The 19,517-nt window shown below is 42.6% G+C and overlaps 1 protein-coding gene across 8 annotated transcripts in view, besides 1 other annotated feature; it reads right to left on the bottom strand.

The window, feature by feature from the left end:
* Positions 1–19,517, bottom strand: part of DOCK2 (dedicator of cytokinesis 2) — a 446,108-nt gene that overhangs the window by 356,422 nt on the left and 70,169 nt on the right. For all 8 annotated transcript variants that reach the window (NR_156756.1, NM_004946.3, XM_011534449.3 and 5 more), the window contains exons 15-22: positions 18,694–18,792; positions 14,954–15,026; positions 14,738–14,841; positions 12,750–12,933; positions 12,504–12,601; positions 10,659–10,748; positions 9,477–9,577; positions 8,170–8,304 (exon numbers count right to left, since the gene is read on the bottom strand). Coding sequence is in view for 7 of the 8 variants with exons in the window: in NM_004946.3 (NP_004937.1) it covers positions 8,170–8,304; positions 9,477–9,577; positions 10,659–10,748; positions 12,504–12,601; positions 12,750–12,933; positions 14,738–14,841; positions 14,954–15,026; positions 18,694–18,792 (884 nt within the window). In the remaining variant the exon portion in view is untranslated. The remainder of the gene's footprint in view (positions 1–8,169; positions 8,305–9,476; positions 9,578–10,658; positions 10,749–12,503; positions 12,602–12,749; positions 12,934–14,737; positions 14,842–14,953; positions 15,027–18,693; positions 18,793–19,517) is intronic.
* Positions 7,011–7,310: an enhancer, noted in NCBI's record as "active region_23599". NCBI's record gives its function as "activates an Ori minimal core promoter by ATAC-STARR-seq in GM12878 lymphoblastoid cells {active_cell/tissue: GM12878}" and the evidence as "EXISTENCE:reporter gene assay evidence [ECO:0000049][PMID:35858748]".

Genomic DNA, 19,517 nt, shown 5'->3' with positions numbered 1-19,517 from the left:
AGTAGCCACCGCACCTGGCTAGCCTGGCTTCTTAAATACATTTCAATGTCTAGTTTGAAACATCACCTCCTCTGAGAAGAATTACTGATCCTCCCAAGGTAAGGTTTGTCATTCAAATCTGTCTGCTCCCACAAGAACAATTTCCAGGCCTCCACTGTGATATTGCATCACTGATCATTGCTTATCCCAGGCAACTGTGATTTGATTGCTGGGATGCATGTTTATCTTGTCCACTACATTGCCAATACTTGAGGAAGGCTGACTTACTAATTTCAGGGTCCCCATGACTTAACAAAGTGCCTAGCACATAATAGGTGCCCAATAAATATTTACTAATATTTCCATAGGCAAAGGGAACAGAGAACTATTTAAAAGTTCATGCATAAGACTTCATGACTAAAACACCAAAAGCAATGGCAAAAAAAGCCAAAATAGACAAATGGGATCTAATTAAACTAAAGAGCTTCTGCACAGCAAAAGAAACTACCATCAGAGTGAACAGGCAACCTACAGAACGGGAGAAAATTTTTACAATCTTCCTATCTGACAAAGGGCTAATATGCAGAATCTACAAAGAACTTAAACAAATTTACAAGAAAAAATCAAACAACCCCATCAAAAAGTGGGCAAAGTATATAAACAGACACTTCTCAAAAGAAGACATTTATGCAGCCAACAAACATGAAAAAAATGCTCATTATCACTGGTCATTAGGGAAATGCAAATCAAAACCACAATGAGATACCATCTCACACCAGTTAGAATGGCGATCATTAAAAAGTCAGGAAACAACAGATGCTGGAGAGGATGTGGAGAAATAGGAACACTTTTACACTCTTGGTGGGAGTGTAAATTAGTTCAATCATTGTGGAAGACAGTGTGGCGATTCCTCAAGGATCTAGAACCAGAAACACCATTTGACCCAGGGATCCCATTACTGGGTATGTACCCAAAGGATTATAAATCATGCTGCTATAAAGACACATGCACATGTATTTTTTATTGCAGCACTATTCACAATAGCAAAGACTTGGAACCAACCCAAATGTCCATCAATGATAGACTGGATTTAAAAATGTGGCACATATACACCATGGAATACTATGCAGCCATAAAAAAGGATGAGTTCATGTCCTTTGCAGGGACATGAATGAAGCTGGAAACCATCATTCTAAGCAAACTATCGCAAGGAGAGAAAACCAAACACCGCATGTTCTCACTCATAGGTGAGAGGTGAACAATGAGAACACATGGACACATGGTGGGGAACATCACACACCGGGGCCTGTCGGGGGTTGGGGGCTGGGGGAGGAATAGCATTAGGAGAAATACCTAATGTAAATGATGAGCTGATGGGTGCAGCAAACCAACATGGCACATGTATACCTATGTAACAAATGTGCACTTTGTGCACATGTACCCTAGAACTTAAGATATAATTTTAAAAAAGAAAAATAATAAATAAATAAATAAATAAAAAGAAAAAACAGCTCATGCATATGCACAATTTCATGTTATAATCAGGCAACTTACTTAACAGTTGACAAACCACTTTCACATATGTTCATGAGAAAGGCTGTTTAGCTTTCCCTGAGTACTGCAGCAATTCATAAAATAAATAATAAAGAGAAGTCACTGTTTGATGATATCCTTTCGGTGACAGTTTTCTCTTTCATCCTGATCTGACGCCAAGTTAATGCTATCATAAAATAGTTCCATTAACTGCAATTGTTCAGTTTACTAAGCCATTACTGTCTTCAAAAAGTGAAATTATATTCAAAACCAAAAACAGAGGCTTACACAGAAATAAATGGCATTAATATGCAAACAAATTACACGCAGAAGAAACAGGAATCTCAATGTCACAGGCATTTCAGCTCATGCTCGGCATAAACAGATGATTACATTTTAATATTTATTCATACATGAACAATAAAAACAAATCACACTGGCAAGCACCTCTGAGTTAAATTCATATTTGTTTCAAAAGGCAGAGGCTTATGTGCTCCCTCCGACTGCAAGCTACACTGACTTGCCCTGAGCTTTATTCAGACAATCTTGCTGCCTAACATATTCATGACCTAGAGGGTAAACTACTATGCAATATTTACATAGGAAGAAACTGAGCTGGTGGGAGGGGATAAGGTGGAGGTTGATTGGTAGGGTGGCACGGAATAAATAAATAGGCAAATAAGAAAAAAAAAAAAAAGACAAAAGAAAGTACCAGAAAGCCGGTGTCTGGGGTCTGGTCATTGATGCTGAAGGCAATTAGAGAAAGGGCAATCACGTCTGGCCCTGGGTGAGGTAAGCTAGACTGGAGGCGTCGCTGAGCTGCGAACCATGCTCCTGAGATGCCCTTGTTAATGTGGTGGCAGCTCCAGTGCAGGCCAGTGGAACTGTGCACACCAGGGCAGGCTTTCTCGGCTCTCGGGGGTAGGGAGCAGGATGAAGCTTCCAGGTGCTGAAGCTCCCATCAGGACACAGAGTGCAATTTTTCTCTCCCCAACCAGTGACTTGTTCCCAAGGAGTGTGAGCTCACCTGGCCTGCCCTGTGTCAACTTTTCTTTATTCATTCCCTGGGGATGAAGACAAAGTCACATTTGCCTGAATAGCTTCACTATAACAGCAAGGATGCCTTTCCTGACCACTCCTGCTCCAGCTCATCTTGTTGTTGTTGTTTGCAGAATTCCTACTGCACTTAGGGATGTTACCATGCTTCCTAGCACTGAAACCCAAGGAGCCATGTGCCTCTCAGCAGCCCCTAATGTCACTCAGTACGTCAGCCCCTCCAGTCAGAGTCGCCCTCCCTCAGGACAGCCCCTCAACATGGCCAGCCAGACTTCACATTTGCATGGCCCAGAAAAATGATCAGGTTCTCACATTTGCTTCATCAGATGAGGCAGAGTGCAAAGCCTCACTCTGCTATATTTCTTAGCTGTGTGATCATTGAGCTTGACTCTAAGCCTCAGTCTCCTTCTTTGTGAAAGGGGGCTAGAAATGGTGTCCAATTTCATACTTAATGAGTGCTTACTACATTCTAGTTGCTTTAGTGTACCACAGAGTACAAAACAGTCAAAGGTTCCTGTACTGATGGATCTGACATTCCAGCAAGGAAGGGACAGTCAACAAAAGCATGATTACTATATAGTATGCCATGTTTAGTTCTATGGGGAGAAAAAGACATCAAAAGGAAGAGAGAAATCAGCAGTGCTCGGGACAGGGGTTGCAATTTTAAATAGGGTAGTGAAAGAGAGGTTTGAGCAAAGATATAAAAATGGTGAGGGAGTTAACAAATGGATCTGGGGAAGGGTGCAAAGGTCTTCAAGGAAGGAAGGAGCTTGAGCCACAGCAAGTCCAGTGTGGTTGGCACAAAGTGAGTGAGGAGTAGCAGGAGATAAAGTCAGAAAATGGGGTCCTCCGTAGAATTTTTGTGAAGACTGCTGAAGATGATAAGTGAATAACCATGTATACTGGCTATGTGACCAGCACTGTGCTAAGTAAGTACCTTACATCCATTGGGCTCACTTAGTCTGTACACCAACCCTGTATGGTAGGTACTATTATGACCGTGTTACATATGAGGAAATTGAGCTTTAGGCAGATTAAATAATTTGTCCAAGGTTGTAAATGCTAGTAAATGTAATGGCAAGATTCCAACTCAGAATTCACACCCAAGCAGACTTGGCTTTGGAGACTGTGCCTTTCACCTCTGAGCTGGCAGTTTCTCATAAGCAAATGAGCTGGAGCTGGGGCTGGTGAAGGAGGAGTTTGTGGAAGCAGGAGATCAGGGTTAAATGGAGATGGGGAAGGAAGCAAGACCCAAATAAGCAGGTCTGTAATAAGAGCAGAAGGCAGGATGCAAAGAAAAGCAGGCATAGCAAGCAGGGGCCAGAGACCCGGGCACCACAGCTGCTCTGGCCAGAGGGGCCTGATCACACTCACAGAGGAAATAAGAGCAACACACAGAATCAGGACCACCCAGTGAGGGCTAGCAGTAGACCAGCGTGAATTCCTGGGGCCAGGAGAGTACCACATTGTGGTCCTCAAAAAGCACAGACACCTGGTAAAAGTTATCCCTGCCTCCAGAGAAATAAACTGTAAGAAATGTTTAGGATAGTATGAGTAGTAAGTCAAATTTTAAGCTTGAATCAAGACCCTGGAATTTCTTCTTAATAATTTAAATCTGAGTTTTTGAAAAAAGCACCCTTGCTGTTTCTCCTAAGTGAAAACATGATACCAGCTAACATTTATTAAATTTATGAAATAAGTACCAGATATTGCATGGAGCACTTTGTACCCATAATCTCATTTCATCATTGAAACACAATGAACTGGTTTATCCCCATTTATAGATGAGGATGCTGAGGCTCAGAGAGGCTGATTCAATCACTAACCCAGGTACTTATAGAGGCAGAGATACCACTATACCCATTGTCTGTCCTGCATGAACATCTCCTCATAACTCTTACTCCATGCTGCCCCTTGCACTCTAGCCTGGGGCAGCATGAGGATCTGTGAGGAGCAGAGACAAGTGGGAGCAACTCCTGTTGCAGCACAGTGTTCTGGTTCCTCTCCCTTTTAGAGAGTTATCCTAACTCTGCAGTCTGATTCTCTGTGCCTGCCAGTAGGACAGGGAGCTGCTTAGTGTCCATCACATGGAACAGGGAAGCATGGTCTGCTCCAAACTTTGTGTAATTCCACAAGCTCAGAAACCTTGGGCATCTGCACAGCTGGTTGTCTGAGCTTCAGGATTAAAGGCACTGCAAGGGGCTTTGTAAAGAAGCTGAATCGTAGAAGATTATCACTTCAACTCTTTCTGAATGTTCCTTACAATGCTCAATACCTCCCAGGAGCTCAGTCATTCTACAAAAGCCTAGTGGATATTGGACATATTTATGGCCACCAGCATCTTTCAGACACACTTCCTATAATTTAGGAATTACTCATAAGACTGCCTCCCTGTGGCAGAAGCTAGAACCTGCTCTGCCAGCTTCCTTTGCAGCTACAGCACTGGCATGTGCCTAATCAGAGACACTTGATCCAGACTTTGACTCAGGAGCTAGTGACACAAGAAGCGAGGGACAAGGAACTCACTCTCTTCTTTCTTTGGCTATAGATAAAAATGAATCCTTCTGAACAATATAGTAAAATAAAAATTCCACCCCTTCTCCACAACGACTCTTCTTTCCTTACCCAACTATACGTTGCATACTGACACAGGAAAATCCTTAGCCCTTGCAAGTGTTCCTGGGCAGGATGTGCAAAAAATAATGGCAAGGGAACAAATAATGGGAGCTAGATCCGCTGCAGTTATGCAAGCAGGGAAAGAGAATAAAGGATTCACAGGAAACAGACACACAATACCAGATACAATTAGCCCCAAACCAATAATTCAATTCTGATTTCCCAACAGCTGGGTTAGACATCTCAAAGCATTGAAACTTCTGTTTTCTAGTTTCCCACAGAAGATGCCCCCTCGTATGGAGAAATACCCCAATAGCTTCCCAATGCCCTAGAGACTCCACTGGAGAGCAGATCATTGCTAAAGATTCTAAAAAGAACAAGACACAAAACCTACCTTCTCCTAGCATGAGGTCCTAGACCGTCTTTGCAGGTCAGCCTACATTTCTGTTCATGAGGAAGGATTCAAGATTAGGCTTGGGTTGCTTTAGAGACCTCTCCTGACCAAATGTCAGTGATGTGCTGCTATTCTAGGGATACAGCAAGGAATAACAGATCACCCTGCTCCTGAATAAGCCAAAAGTCACTTAGCATTTACGTCACAGCAGCACTGAATTTACACCAGTTAAAGAGTTAGGGGTTCTGCAAGATTATATGCCTTGAGGCAGAGAAGAGCAAAACAAATGCACAAATGTATTTTGTCCCAGTAGATGGAAAACACAAAAACTAACAGACGTAAGACATGAGAGAGTTATACTGGCTGGGCGCAGTGGCTCACGCCTGTAATCCCAGCACTTTGGGAGGCCGAGGTGGGCAGATCACGAGATCAGGAGATCAAGACCATCCTGGCCAACATGGTGAAACCCCGTCTCTACTAAAAAATTAGCTGGGTGTGGTGATGCGTGCCTGTAATCCCAACTACTTGGGAGGCTGAGGCAGGAGAATCAGTTGAAGGTGGGAGGCGGAGATCGCAGTGAGCCATGATTGTGCCATTGCCCTCTAGCCGTGATTGCGCCATTGCTCTAGTGACAGAGCAAGACTCTGTCTCAAAATTAATAAATAAATAAGAGAGTTATCTTAACAGAAGCTCTGCAGTCTCATCTCCATGTGCCTTCCAGTAGGAAGGGGAGCCGCTCAGTGTCCATCTCATGGAACAGGGAAGCTCAGCCTGCTCCAAACTCTGTATAATTCCACAAGCTCAGAACCCTTGAGGATTAGCGCAGCTGGTTGTCTGAGCTTCAGGCACTGCAAGAGGCTTTGTAAAGAAGCTCAATCCTTGAAAATGGAAGGAAAAAATGGAAGGAAGGAAGGAAGAAAGGGAGGGAGGAAGGGATGGAAAAGGAAAGAAATATAGGAGAGAGGAGAAGCAATAAAATAAATACACCAAAAGGAAGAACTGAAAAGGTCTGAGAAGTAGAAAAGACATATTCTACTTATACATAAAACATTCTCACTTGGAAGATGGGATAAGATATCCTTGACTTTTAAGCTGTAACTGCAATGTCTGAATTCTTGAACTCCTCCAAGAAAATCACTCTTAGATTCACTGGAGTCTCATTGGTTTTCCCAAATCACTGAGAAGTATCTCTCAAACCTAGAATACCCGACTCAGACTTGACTAAATGACAAGCCAGAGGAATCTGAAACAGACACTTCACTTTCAGAATGACCTAAGTGCATTTGTTCTGTCGCATGGTTCAAGACACTCACATCTTTCTATTCATAACCTGAAATCTCAAAGAATGTGTTAAGAGAATCCCAAATGATTGCCTGTTTCAGATGCACTGTCAAATATAAAGCTTTAGCAGCCCATCCATTGTCATGATCACAATCACAATGATGGTCTTTTTTTTTTTTTTAAGAGTCAGAGTCTTGCTTTGTTGCCCAGGCTAATTCAAGTTTCTTTTGAGAACTCATCTCTAAAATAACAAGTCCACACCATAAGTGGCTGACCTGGCTATGACTCCAGTAATGCACACATGACCACAACTATACAAGACCCAAAACAGTTCTTGGCATAGGGTTTTGCTAGGACAACAAGGAACATAGAGTTGCTTCCACTGGTAGAATGTAAACTTGAGGATTCTAGCAGCCTCTGCGTCGGAAAACTTGCCTTATAAGACAATCAACAAAAAGAAAGCAGAGTCCAGATCTAGACAGACAGAGACTATCCCAATAACGCTGAGCATCTGGACTCAGCCATGCCTGAGGCCGACTACACCCTTGGTTTTTCAATGATGTGAAATAAAGTCTCATTTCTCCCTAAGTCAGTTTCAGTTGCGTGTTCTTTGTTTGCACTAAGAATCCAGACAATACTTTCCTTGAATGTTTTTCTTATTTTCCATCACACACAACCAACCTGATTACACACAAACAATCCTCTACCTAACTTTGCCCTATGGCCAAGATGAACATGAATTGTTCTTCTATAAATTGCATTTGAATACCTTCCTCTCCAAAGCCCTTCAAAAAGGCAGCTGGCCTCTGTGATACTGACCATCAAAATCTTCTAAGGTACTCTAATACATCAGCTCACTTTTTGGCTACTAGGATCTCAAGGACAGACAGGTCAACTGCAAATACCAGCTTATTGGCCATGTACAACCTACAAGAGCCAAGTAAATGTCAGACTCCCTGAGTTCTGCCCTTCCTGCTCCCAGGCCCTCTAACATTGGATATAGATTGCTGGAAAATGTTCACCATATTTCAAATCAAATGAAGAATGTTAGATGAAACACAGAAGAGCCTCAAATCACATTTACTGGTTAAACATAACTCTGCAACCTGTTAAGATTTCTTTTTTTTCCCAAATGAACTTAGAGGGTACAATTATTACATATTCATTACTCTCTAGGTTGGATTCTTGAGCTGTTTTTGATCGACAGCTGGTTATAATTTTTTAAACGAGTTTCTCCTACAGTAAAAATACTGTTGTATCCCAGAGGAATTGCAGAGCTAATCAATCACTCTTACATAACAAGTACTCACTGTGAAAATAATGTCCTCGACCGAACAATGAACTTGAACACATATTCCAAAGCCTTCAGCGTTCTTAGGATTGGCTCACATTGCTCCCCTCTGCTGGAGGTATCCAAGTAAGTCTTCAGCACTGTCATCAATTTCCTGAATAAGGGATAATATTTTCAAAATACATCTCTTTCATCATGGTAATTAGTTTGCTCAGTAAATTATAAGGCATTCAATCAAAGGTTAAAGGTGGTAGTAGAGCCAAGCTCACTTACTCATTTGTAAGCATAAAGATAACTCTGCATAAAAATTATATTTATTACAGGGAATTAATAAGTATTTCCTGCTCATAAAAAGCCAGCAAAGAAAAAGATAGGGAGGAAAAAAAAATCTTTTGACTAGGAGAACTAGTCACAATCAGGCTACAAGTGGGAATAATGGGGAATAATGGTGGCAATAATGTCTTTTTTTTCAACTTTTTCTTTCTATAGAACATGCTCTTGTAATATCACAGAACTCTAAGTTTGCTTAGGAACTTTCTATGTTTCTTCTTTACCATAGGGCAGACTTCAAATTACTTGGCCTGACTTTCAAGGCCCCTTCACAAACTGGTCCCCACCAAACTCCCTGTGGCATCATCTCCTATCTCTCACCCTCTCCCTACACCCAAACCAGACTGAGCTACTTGGCATGTGCACTTTCTTCTGTGTAGCTCCCCCGCTGTTTTTGTTTTGTTTTGTTTTGTTTTGTTTTTGAGATGAGTCTTACTGTCACCCAGGCTGGAGTGCAGTGGTGTGATCTCTGCACAATGCAATCTCCACCTCCAGGGTTCAAGTGATTCTCCTGCCTCAGCCTCCCGAGTAGCTGGGATTACAGGCTCCCACCACCATGCTCAGCTAATTTTTGTATTTTTAGTAGAGACAGGGTTTCACCATGTTGGCCAGGCTGGTCTCCAACTCCTGACCTCAGGTGATCCACCTATCTCAGCCTCCCAAAGTCCTGGGATTACAGGCGTGAGCCACCACACCTGGTCTTCTCTGTAGCCTTTAAGTCCTGGTGTCCACTCAAGAAATGAGAGCACGCTAGCTGAATGGATGAATGAGCACTTCCAGGTACCACTGCAACCATAAGGCATTCATCCAAACCTATGGGTATTCCACATTTTTAATGATATCCAAATAACCCAAGCATAGGTTAGATTTTGTTAGAGAATGGAGAGCTCACACAGATGAGTCACAAAAGAAAATTACTCAAGTTCCTGTGCCCTAGGCATCCTGGCAGGGCAAGAGGGTGGTAGAGAAGAAGTTCCCATGTGCACAATTACTTACTTGTAAGCCAAGGTCGCACTGAAATGCTGTTGGATGTAAGCCTCCAGAACGGTGTTGAAATGCTGAAATTTCCGGTCTGCAATGAGTCCTATTATGTAAATCTGAGGAAGATGCAAGGCAGCAGTATTTTCAGGGCAAACCCAGGGCAGGAAGCCATCTTTACCTGGCATAATTCAACCCCCATTAAAATCCTTTGCCCAGGAATTAGCTCACTAATACATAATGAGTTCTCTTTATTAAGGTAGCATCTTCCCAAAGAAAATGTTTCATGAAGTGTGCTGTGGGGTGTTATAAGATGAAAAGGATTTCATGGTCAAATAGGTTTTGAGAAATGTCAGGTTATCATTATTAGACTTTCTTATTGCAAAACTTTTTAGAATCTTTAATATACTTATGTACATTGTGAATCTCTAAAAGGGTCATGCAACATTCAACACTTCCCTAAATTAATTAATCAAAGTATATATTTGTCATGAAACATCTTTTCTGAGAGCTAGCATTCTAGGGTACTCTCTGGGGAAGCACTTGATTAAGCCACAGTTGTCTCTCAGTAACCTCTTTAAAAATGCAAATATCCATGACACAAGGGGTTAACACTTAAAAACTTTGTTGGGCACTGATTCCCTAATGCAGATGTTTCTTGTGTTTATTTTGACATAACACTGAGAAAATCTGAGTCGAGATAGGGAGAGGACAAAAAGACCATAGGGGAGGACTAAAAGAAGGAAGATCTGGATGGTACAGCATCATGAAAAGTTCTGGGTGGGTAGGAGAAATGTAATGATTAGTGAGTTGGAGGAAATGGGGAGAAGAAGGTGAAAGGAAAGCTAAGAAACATTTTTGGTGCTTTACAACCTAGCCAGGGACTAGCTCCCAACATTCATAGAAAGCAGAAGCAATCATTCACAATATCCAGCCTCATGTACCTTCAGCCAGTGTCAATCTGACATCAGCATTTAAAATTCCCCTTTCACCCACAATGCCTCATGCTTTCAAATGAACTGGCAAGAAGCAAAAGGAAATAGCAGCTCATTATTGGTCTTGTTGCCAAACATTACAACACCTCCAAAGAATTCATGAAAAAGGCCATGAGGGCCATGAGGGCCATGAGTTCTCAGTATTTTCACAGTAAGACATACATTAATGCCTGTTGTCACTAGACACTTTTCCCCTCTCTCTTACCAAGGCATCAAAGACGAGGATGTCATATTCATCACTTTGAGAATGCTCCATCATGATGTTGAAGAGGGCATCCAGAGTATCCTGGAGAAACTGGAAGAAATAACAAAGGTTGCACTACTTCAGAAACAAGACAAAGTACAGGTGAACCAGCAATCCCACTCCTAACTATCTATAAGAGAATGAGAGCACACATCCACCACATGTCATGCTCAAAACGTCTAGAGTAGTTTTACTCACGAGAGCCAGAAGTTGGAGGAACCCAACTGCCCATCAACAGCAGAATGGATGCACAGATGGTGGCATGTTCACACTAGAGAATACTACACAGCTGGACTAAAGTGCAAACTACTTCCACAGGCAGAAATGAGGATGATTCTCACAAGCATTATATGCAGTAAAATACATCAGGCACAGAAAGTACACTCTTCACTATTCCATTCTTATGAAATTTGAGAGTAGGCAAAAACCCATCTACAATGATGGTTGTCAGGACAGTGATTACCCCGGGGGACTACTGGCTGAGAAGGGGTATGAGGGAATCTACTATAATGCTAAAAGTGGTCTGTATCCTCTTCTGGGTGGTGAGTACACATGGTGTTTACGTGTGTAAAAATCCATTATGCTATACTCTTAAGATAACTGCTCTGTATCTATTTCATCATATGTATATCATATTTAAATAACAAACTTTTTTAAAAAAAAAAAAAGAAAAAAGAATGCAAGAGGAAGACAACAAAAGCCTCATCTCTTCCATGACTTCTCCAAGCTACCAAAAGGCTATAGACTTTATTAAAGTGGTGTCTTGGGGAGTTACTCTGCCATTGCTGAACGAGGTAGATGGGTCAGTGGTATACATTTACGGCATCTGGAAATTCTGCCACTGCTTCTCCAGGTAGAGGCAATTAAATAAAACTTGATTTTCCTCCCTCCTAAGGGATGGGTCAATATTTCCTATAATCCCTCAAAACACAGAGCTACCATATAAAGATGTTTAATCTCAGAATTTCTAGCTGTATCAAGGAAACAAGATCTCCAGGACCATTGGGAAACACTTGTCCCAATTCATAAGGCTGGAGAGAAGGGTTGCTTTAATTAGATTTGCACTTCAGACGCTTTCTATTCTCCACTACCATGTGGATGCAATAATACATCTGACATTTGCATTGTTTTCTGCTTATTTCACTTAAAATGTAAGCCCTGATGTCTTTCCCTTTCCCGTCTTTAATACATAATGCTCTCCAAGCAGCAGAAACCAAGAATACTTTTTATTTCTAACAATGATCTGTGGGTAGTACTAACAGATCATACTACTATATATATATGTATATATACATATGCACACATATATATGCTCACACACATACATACATATATATGCATATACATATATATCAACATATGACAACAAAAATAATAATTACCATTTATTGAACTTTGTTTTATATGCTTTGGTTTAATTGTTGTGTACTATGTGTAAGAGACTGTTGAGTAAGTTTTAAATATTATCACCTTGAATGCTCATAACAGCCCTGAGAACTATGTCACTTTTATATTATCACATAAAGTTGGCATGTGGGAGAGCTGGGATTTACACCCAGGCTCATCTATTTCCAGAGATTGAGCATAACCATTGTTTTCTGGCACCCAACATTCAGTGCCATTGAACCAAGTCACTCCCCTGGATTTCCCAATAAAGATTCCTCAAGGCAACTCGGGAGAGTGTATCCTACTGTTGGAAGAAAAGTTTCCCCATGTCCTTCAATACCTTGTTTTTCCCCTGAAGCCACCCACATGGAGAGTTCTGTCACTAGTGTAAGAATACAATCAAAATGAAGCCCCACTGACCTTCACCACTTCCTCTCCATCCACAATCTTCAACTTTTCTAAATTCTCCTGTAGCAGTTGAGGCTTCATACGCCACTTCAGCAAACCCAGCAAGCCCACTAAAATAGAGTCCAGACATTCAGAAGTATCATTACTGGCCTAACTGTCCATATCAGGACCTCCTTGGGTCTGCAAGCACATACACACATGTACACACACACGGACACACACACTCCCCACAGACACAACTCTTGATGACCCGATTACCATTCTGAGTGAGCTTTGTGGAGCACACCAGGGTGGAAATGGAGAACACATCCCGGGAGCTGACAGAAAGCCCCCCAACACTGCTGGAGCTCCTGCTCAGCGTGGCCCCCTTGTTTTCCACATGGTGTCGATAAGAAGGAAGGGTCAGGTATGCGCTGGCATCCTCCATCTTCTTGCTGTCCCCCTGGAAACAACACTTGGTTACTGCCCCAAGCCAAGGCTCCATGCCCAATGCCACACAGAGCCTGCAGCAGACAAATTAGACACTGTGAAGTGGGGAGAGTCATAAAGAGTGAAGAAAATCATCAGAGAAGCAATAGACATTGGCTGGTGAGGCAGGACTGTTTTTCCACAATACAGGTAAGAATTCAAAGACACATTAATAGAAAGGGGGTTGATCCACCAGGTGAAAGCTCTGTGAACCTCATTAATGGCAAAATAAAAACGGAATTGAAAATTCCCAGACAGTACATTTTAATTCATCCTTTTTTTGAGACCATAATATCTGCTCACCAGCAAAATAAGGACTCTAGCTTAAAGAGGAATTTAATGGCAAAGGCACTAAGTAAGAGTGTGCTGGGATCTGGACCCTGTTTTGCCATTCACAGGTCTATGCTATCTTGAATACACTATTTTGCCTCTTTGTGTCTCATTTTTTTTTTCATTAGTAAACTGAAGACAATCATCATCCCTACTTCCTAGAATACCTGAGCAGATAATATGGAATAATGCATATAGAATACATAGCAGAGTGATACACACATAAATGAGTGGCATGTTAAAATGAATGACTAGAGGTAGGCATTACAGAAGATAACATTTATCTTACTCCGCACCAGGAGTGAAACCAAGTGTTTTATATGTCTTGGTTCATTTCATTTAAGCCTCATAACAAACATATGAAGCAGACACTGTTATTATCCTCAGTCAAGGAAACTGGGACCTAATGGGGGTAAGTAAAAGAAAATTGACTGCAACTAGGCCTCTGACCCCAAGGAGTTCACATTCTGTCAGGGAAGAAGGGCTTTCAAGCCAAGAATTCTATGTGTGATAAATGAGAAAACAGAGGCTGTACAGAAGAAAGGGGGTTTTCTGGAAAAGTCAGAGAGACTCAGAGAAGAGTACAAGAGTACTATGAGATGAAGCCTTGACGAGGCTGTGTTTGCCATGCATCCCACAGGCAAAAGGGCAATTTCAGCCTACAAGGCTAAGAAAGCCAAGGGCAAGGGTGTGATCCATGTGCTGGCTACTCAACCTTGCTCCACCTCACAGCCATACACTTGCCTCCAGCCAGGTGCTAGTAGATGCATTCTGTTGTCATAAGAGGACATGTGGAAAAGCAGCAGGTAAAAACCAGACAAATGCTCCTCCATGTCTCAAAAACAGTCCAAGTCTCATAATGTAAAAATAAAAATAGTGGACATCTGCACTCCCTTTATAGTTTAGATGGCCATTTTTCATGGGTCATCCTAGTGGGTTGTCATAAATATTGCCACAACTGCTTAAGAAAAAAGAAACTGAGACTCAGGAAAATATGTGAGATGAGTCCAGGCTTAGTCAGCAGCAGGATCAGGACTGCAGGTTTTAATATTTTCCCATTAGCTACAATGCAGCATCTCTCAAATGTTTATTGTACATCCTCTACACATGCCACAGAGGTCCCTACAGAGTCAAGAGTATATAACAGTCATTAACAATAACCTTTCTGTAAATAACAATAACCTTTTCCATGTATTGAGTTCTTCCATGTACTCATCATTGCTATGTTTACATCCACTGTCTCATAATTTTCACAAATATTCACTGAGGGCACAAAGATGAGGAAACAGAGGCCCAGAGAAGTCAAGAGTTTATAAGAGGCCACAAAGTTGGTAAACTCTGGTGTGTGTGATTCTGGGGTCCCTGCTGTTGACCACTAAGCAATTTTGCCATCACCCCCTTTCTTCCTGCACTCCCCTCAGTGCAGAGCTCCTTCCAACTCATGGTACCTTGAGGACAACTAAGTCATGGAATCCATCGTGTAGAGTAGTCCCATCTTCTTTCATCAGCTTCACATAGGACATGGCAAAGTTCTTTTCTCCTTTATCTTTAGCTGGAAATAGCATTGTGGGGTCAGGAAAGAAAATGATACATGGGCCACCCAGCTCTTCCATTCTTCTCCCCTTAGGGGGAGGTGCAGAGATGCCATTCAGTATGGTACTCACATTCCAGAGATGACCGATGTCGAAACATGAATCGCAGATGGATCCTCTGCATGTCTTCAATAGGGACAGCCACCTCAGCAGACAGAAACAGAGCTCAGAACACAATGAGTTAAAGGGCCCTCCCCACTGCACCCCCCTACACACTTCCACAGCAGCCTGACCATTTAACTGAGAGAGCTGCCTGCTGATTTACAACCCATCCATTGAGGCTGATGAACTGTAAATAAATTACAGAAGAACTAGCTATGAAGAGAAAATAAAGTACCAAATGTAATCCATTTGGCAAATTGCATTCCCAGCCAATGAAAAGAGGTCTGTAAATTATAGTGAGGAAAAATGAGTCTCCCCAAATTGATATAAAAGTCACATAACTTTAGCACAGGATTTGATGCACTGCAAACTGCACAATGCACATTTTCCTTACACACTCCAGGAGTTCTGGCAATTGCAGCAGGGCTTAGCAAATTAACAATGGTTGTTAGGGGGTTTGCTTGAGGAATCTCATTTATGCAAATTAATAAAAATGCTTTAATCCAATAATATTTGGAAAAATCCTAGGGCTCATCTCACCCTTGATCAGACACATGTCCAGATGTTTTTGATTCCAAGGACACTGAGCTAAGACAACAACCCACTGGTCACCCAGGCATCCCTGTCCAGTGAATGACCCACTGGTACCACTGATTGTGATGCTTTCAGCCTGGCTCTGTGCTGCCCACCTCCCAAAGTCTCACAGCTCCTCTGCAATCTGAGATTCAGGCCAATGCGGAGAAGGTTAGCTACCTGAGAGAAGGACACTGATTTTAAAAAGGAATACATTTGTACTGTACAGATGCCTATTAAACGCCAAAACAAATGTATACTTGGGGGCACTTTCTGTTGCAGAAAATGAGGCTTGAGCCTGAGGAGGTCCACCATCCTGTCTATGTTTCAGGCAGAGCAAAGGAACTGAGGGTCTCATGGGTAACTGCAGCCAATTCATTCTTTCCCTGAGTGTTGAATGTTCACTAGAAGCTACAATCATGTGGGGTGCTGGCCATGCTGATACAAGGCAGAGTCCTCACACTCAAAGAGCTCATTGTTCCGTGTTACACATGGGGCAATGTGTAACAGCCCTGTGACAAGGGCTAGCAAGGAGATACAACTGAGGTGCAAGAGAGAACAGAGAAGGGAAACCTGACCTGGTACATTAACTTTCTGACCACAGAGTTGACCGGGTCATCAATTCGAAGGCATTGGGTATGGGGAGACACACTGAGCAAAGTAATAATATGTGTAATAAGTGGAGAACCGCTGGGGTTTGAATAGCTCTCACTGAAAAGGAAGTCAAGTGTGCATCTTGTGTTTGGAGTCAGAGCCCGGGGGGAATAAAGAATGCTGCTAATGATAAGGCAGAGATATCTGAAGCTATGATCAAGCTGCAGTGTTCACTGAATTAATTCCAAATCCTTATTCCAATGCAGGTTATTCCTTTCTGCTTAGTGTGACGATCTGGTAATGTAATATTTGTAGTTAATGTCACTTCTGTCAAGGAATTATTCCAAAAGGGCATCTTTCAGGCATTATACAGCCTGTGATAGGCTCACATTGGCTTGCAAGCTCTGTCACTCCTCATTGCTGAGTAGAATGGTGCAGCTTGATGAACTGGGCACCACCCACAAGAGGACTATTTGACAATTCCACTTTGGTTACATCCTGCACCAAGGAAGGGTGATCAAGGGAACCAGGGTGCTCACCCACCTGGCCTCCATTTCCACTGGCTGACAATACCACCAGACACATGCTAGGGGGTCATTTCAGATTCAGAGAGGTGCCTCCAAGGACCCTAAGCTCTTACAGATGGTGACTTCTGCTATAAACTAGAGCTAAAGAAGTTTTTCTGTCACTCTATGTCCCTCCAGTATGTTCATGACTGGCCTCAGAATTGAGTTAGATATTTCATGAAGAGAAACATAATATATTCTCATATGTTGTTCACAATCACATTGATCCATCAAGCCTCCCACCTGCTTTGGCTAAAACAAAGAATTTCTAAAATATGTTCAACAGAATCCTAGCCCCAGGATATGACACTAGGAAAAAGGAAAATGCTCGGTAGTCAACGAGTTTTGGGACGTGCTCTGCATTCTTATTTCCTTTTGCAGGTCTGCAGAGCACATTTACATCTCAAGGGCTCTAAGAACTTGACATAAGGAAGCCTTTAACTTCTATATTTGTTCTCAAGTTTCTCACATTTGACCAGGAAATGTTATTTTAATACATTTAACGTATGAATTTTTTTTTTTCTGAGAAGGAGTCTCGCACTGTCACCTAGGCTGGAGTGCAGTGGTGCAATCTCAGCTCACTGCAACCTCCGCCTCCCAGGTTCAAGTGATTGTCATGCCTCAGCCTCCTGAGTAGCTGGAACTATAGGCACATGACACCATGCACGACTCATTTATGTATGTATGTATGTATGTATTTATTTTTAGTAGAGACAGAGTTTCACCATGTTGCCCAGGCTGGTCTCGAGCTCGTGACCTCAGGTCATCCACCTGCCTCAGCCTCTCATAGTGCTGGGATTACAGGCATGAGCCACTGCACCTGGCCTAAAACGTTATTTTAATAAAACACCACTTAGTATTCCACAAAACATTTTGCGGGGAGATGCCATATGAGAAGGACCTGGAGGGAGACTGCAACAGATATCTGGAACAACTATACCTTCCCTCTGCCTTCTCCCCACAACTACACAGAGAGGCACAAAGCTGCCTGCCACTACCAATTAGACTGCCTGTAGAGGGGTGGTTAAAAAACAGGCAAGGGTCAAGTGTTTGAAGGGCATCTTGAAGGAATGCAAAATCTAGTTCAATTTTGCAGACTGAGATAACTGCCAAGTATAATCAAGAGTTGTATTAATTGAATAAGTACTCTCTTCCAAGGACTTGTCTGACAGTATTATGTGTATTAAGTCCTTTTACTTCCACAGTCAACCTATTGCTCCCATTTTACAGGTGAGGAAACCAGGGCACAGAGCAGGTGAATGACTTGCCCAAGGTCACACCATTGGTGAGCATTAGGGCTGGAATACGAACCCAGACTCTCTGGGCCTAGGGTCTATGCACAGAACTGCCTTGCTCAACTGCTCTCATTAAAAGGAAGAAGGCTGGGTGTGGTGGCTCATGCCCATAATCCCAGTACTTTGGGAGGCCAAGGTGGGCAGATCACTTGAGATCAGGAGTTTGAGACCAGCCTGGCCTACAAGGTGAAACCCCATTTCTACTAAAAACACAAAAATTAGCCTGGTGTGGTGGCACACGCTTGTAATCCCAACTACTCAGGGGGCTGAGACAGGAGAATCACTAGAACCTGGGAGACAGTGGTTGCAGTGAGCAGAGATGGTAAAACTACACTCCAGCCTGGGCAACAGAGTGAGACTCTGTCTCAAAAAAAAAAAAAAGAAGAATGCTAATTGTTCCAGTCAGTATTCTGCTCCCTCAGCTTGCGGGGATGAGCACAGACCCAGAGCCAGACTGCTCAGGTTTGAATCCCAGCTCTGATATTTCCTAGCAGCGTGGTCGTGGTCAGGCTACTTCCCTGTTCAGTGCCAGTTTCCTCAACTATAAAATGAAGGAAATATTAGTACAAACCTCACACGGCTGTTGTAAGCAATACATAAATTATTTAAATAAAGCACTTAAAACAGTGCCTGGTTCATGGTAAGAACTAGACATGTGTTTGCTGCTATTATTAATTATTACCTTGACTGTTTCCATCCAGCGTGGCTGTTTGACTTGATAGTACACAACGGAGCGATACTCATTCATGGGCTTGTCCCCTGCTCCCACGCAAATTGCATTCTGACCCAAGAAAAACAAAGTGAGGGAAAAGACTACAGAATTGTCATTTTCTGTGCTTGTGCAGGTTTGGTCCCTAGGCCACGACCAGCCTTAGGGCCTGGGCCAACCCTGCCTTCCCTAGCCCTCATGCCAGGTGCCCATAATGGCTCCTTCTCTATTACAGATTTACACAGGAGTGCCCCAGCCACAGGACTGACAGGCACTTAACTACAGAAATTCCATTACTTCCATTCTGGAAACCACTGGAGTGCACCAGGGCATTGATGTGGCTGCCTTACTGTAAGTGACAACCAGCCTTGGAGTTACTGCACACTGCCAGTCTTATTAATCCTATTTGTTTCCTAAATGTGAATGTGCAGAAAGTTTACTAACAGGCTCAGATCAGCCAAGCAGCAACTCTTTGCGATGAATTTCTACAGCTAACACGTCAGGGCGGTGGGCAGTGCTGGACAAAAGGAGAGAGCACAGGCTTCAGAGAGACACATGAGCACCTGCCTTAAAGAACAAGTCTGGGGTGAGGGGGTTCCGGGGAGGAGGCTCAGTTCAGGTCACAATAATGGAAACATCTTCTTGGTACTCCATGCTGTGCACTGGGGTATAGGAATGGGTCAGACATTGAACCTGACGTGAGCTCACAGTTTTGTGCAGGAAACATTAGGGAACACGTCATGACAGCAAGGCAACGTGATGACAGACATGTGTACACACTACTGTTGGGCACAGAG

This window comes from Homo sapiens, chromosome 5 (assembly GCF_000001405.40).
Source record: "Homo sapiens chromosome 5, GRCh38.p14 Primary Assembly".
Lineage (NCBI taxonomy): Eukaryota > Metazoa > Chordata > Mammalia > Primates > Hominidae > Homo > Homo sapiens.
Note: the sequence above shows the minus strand (reverse complement) of the source record. Positions and strands in the feature narration are given on the sequence as shown.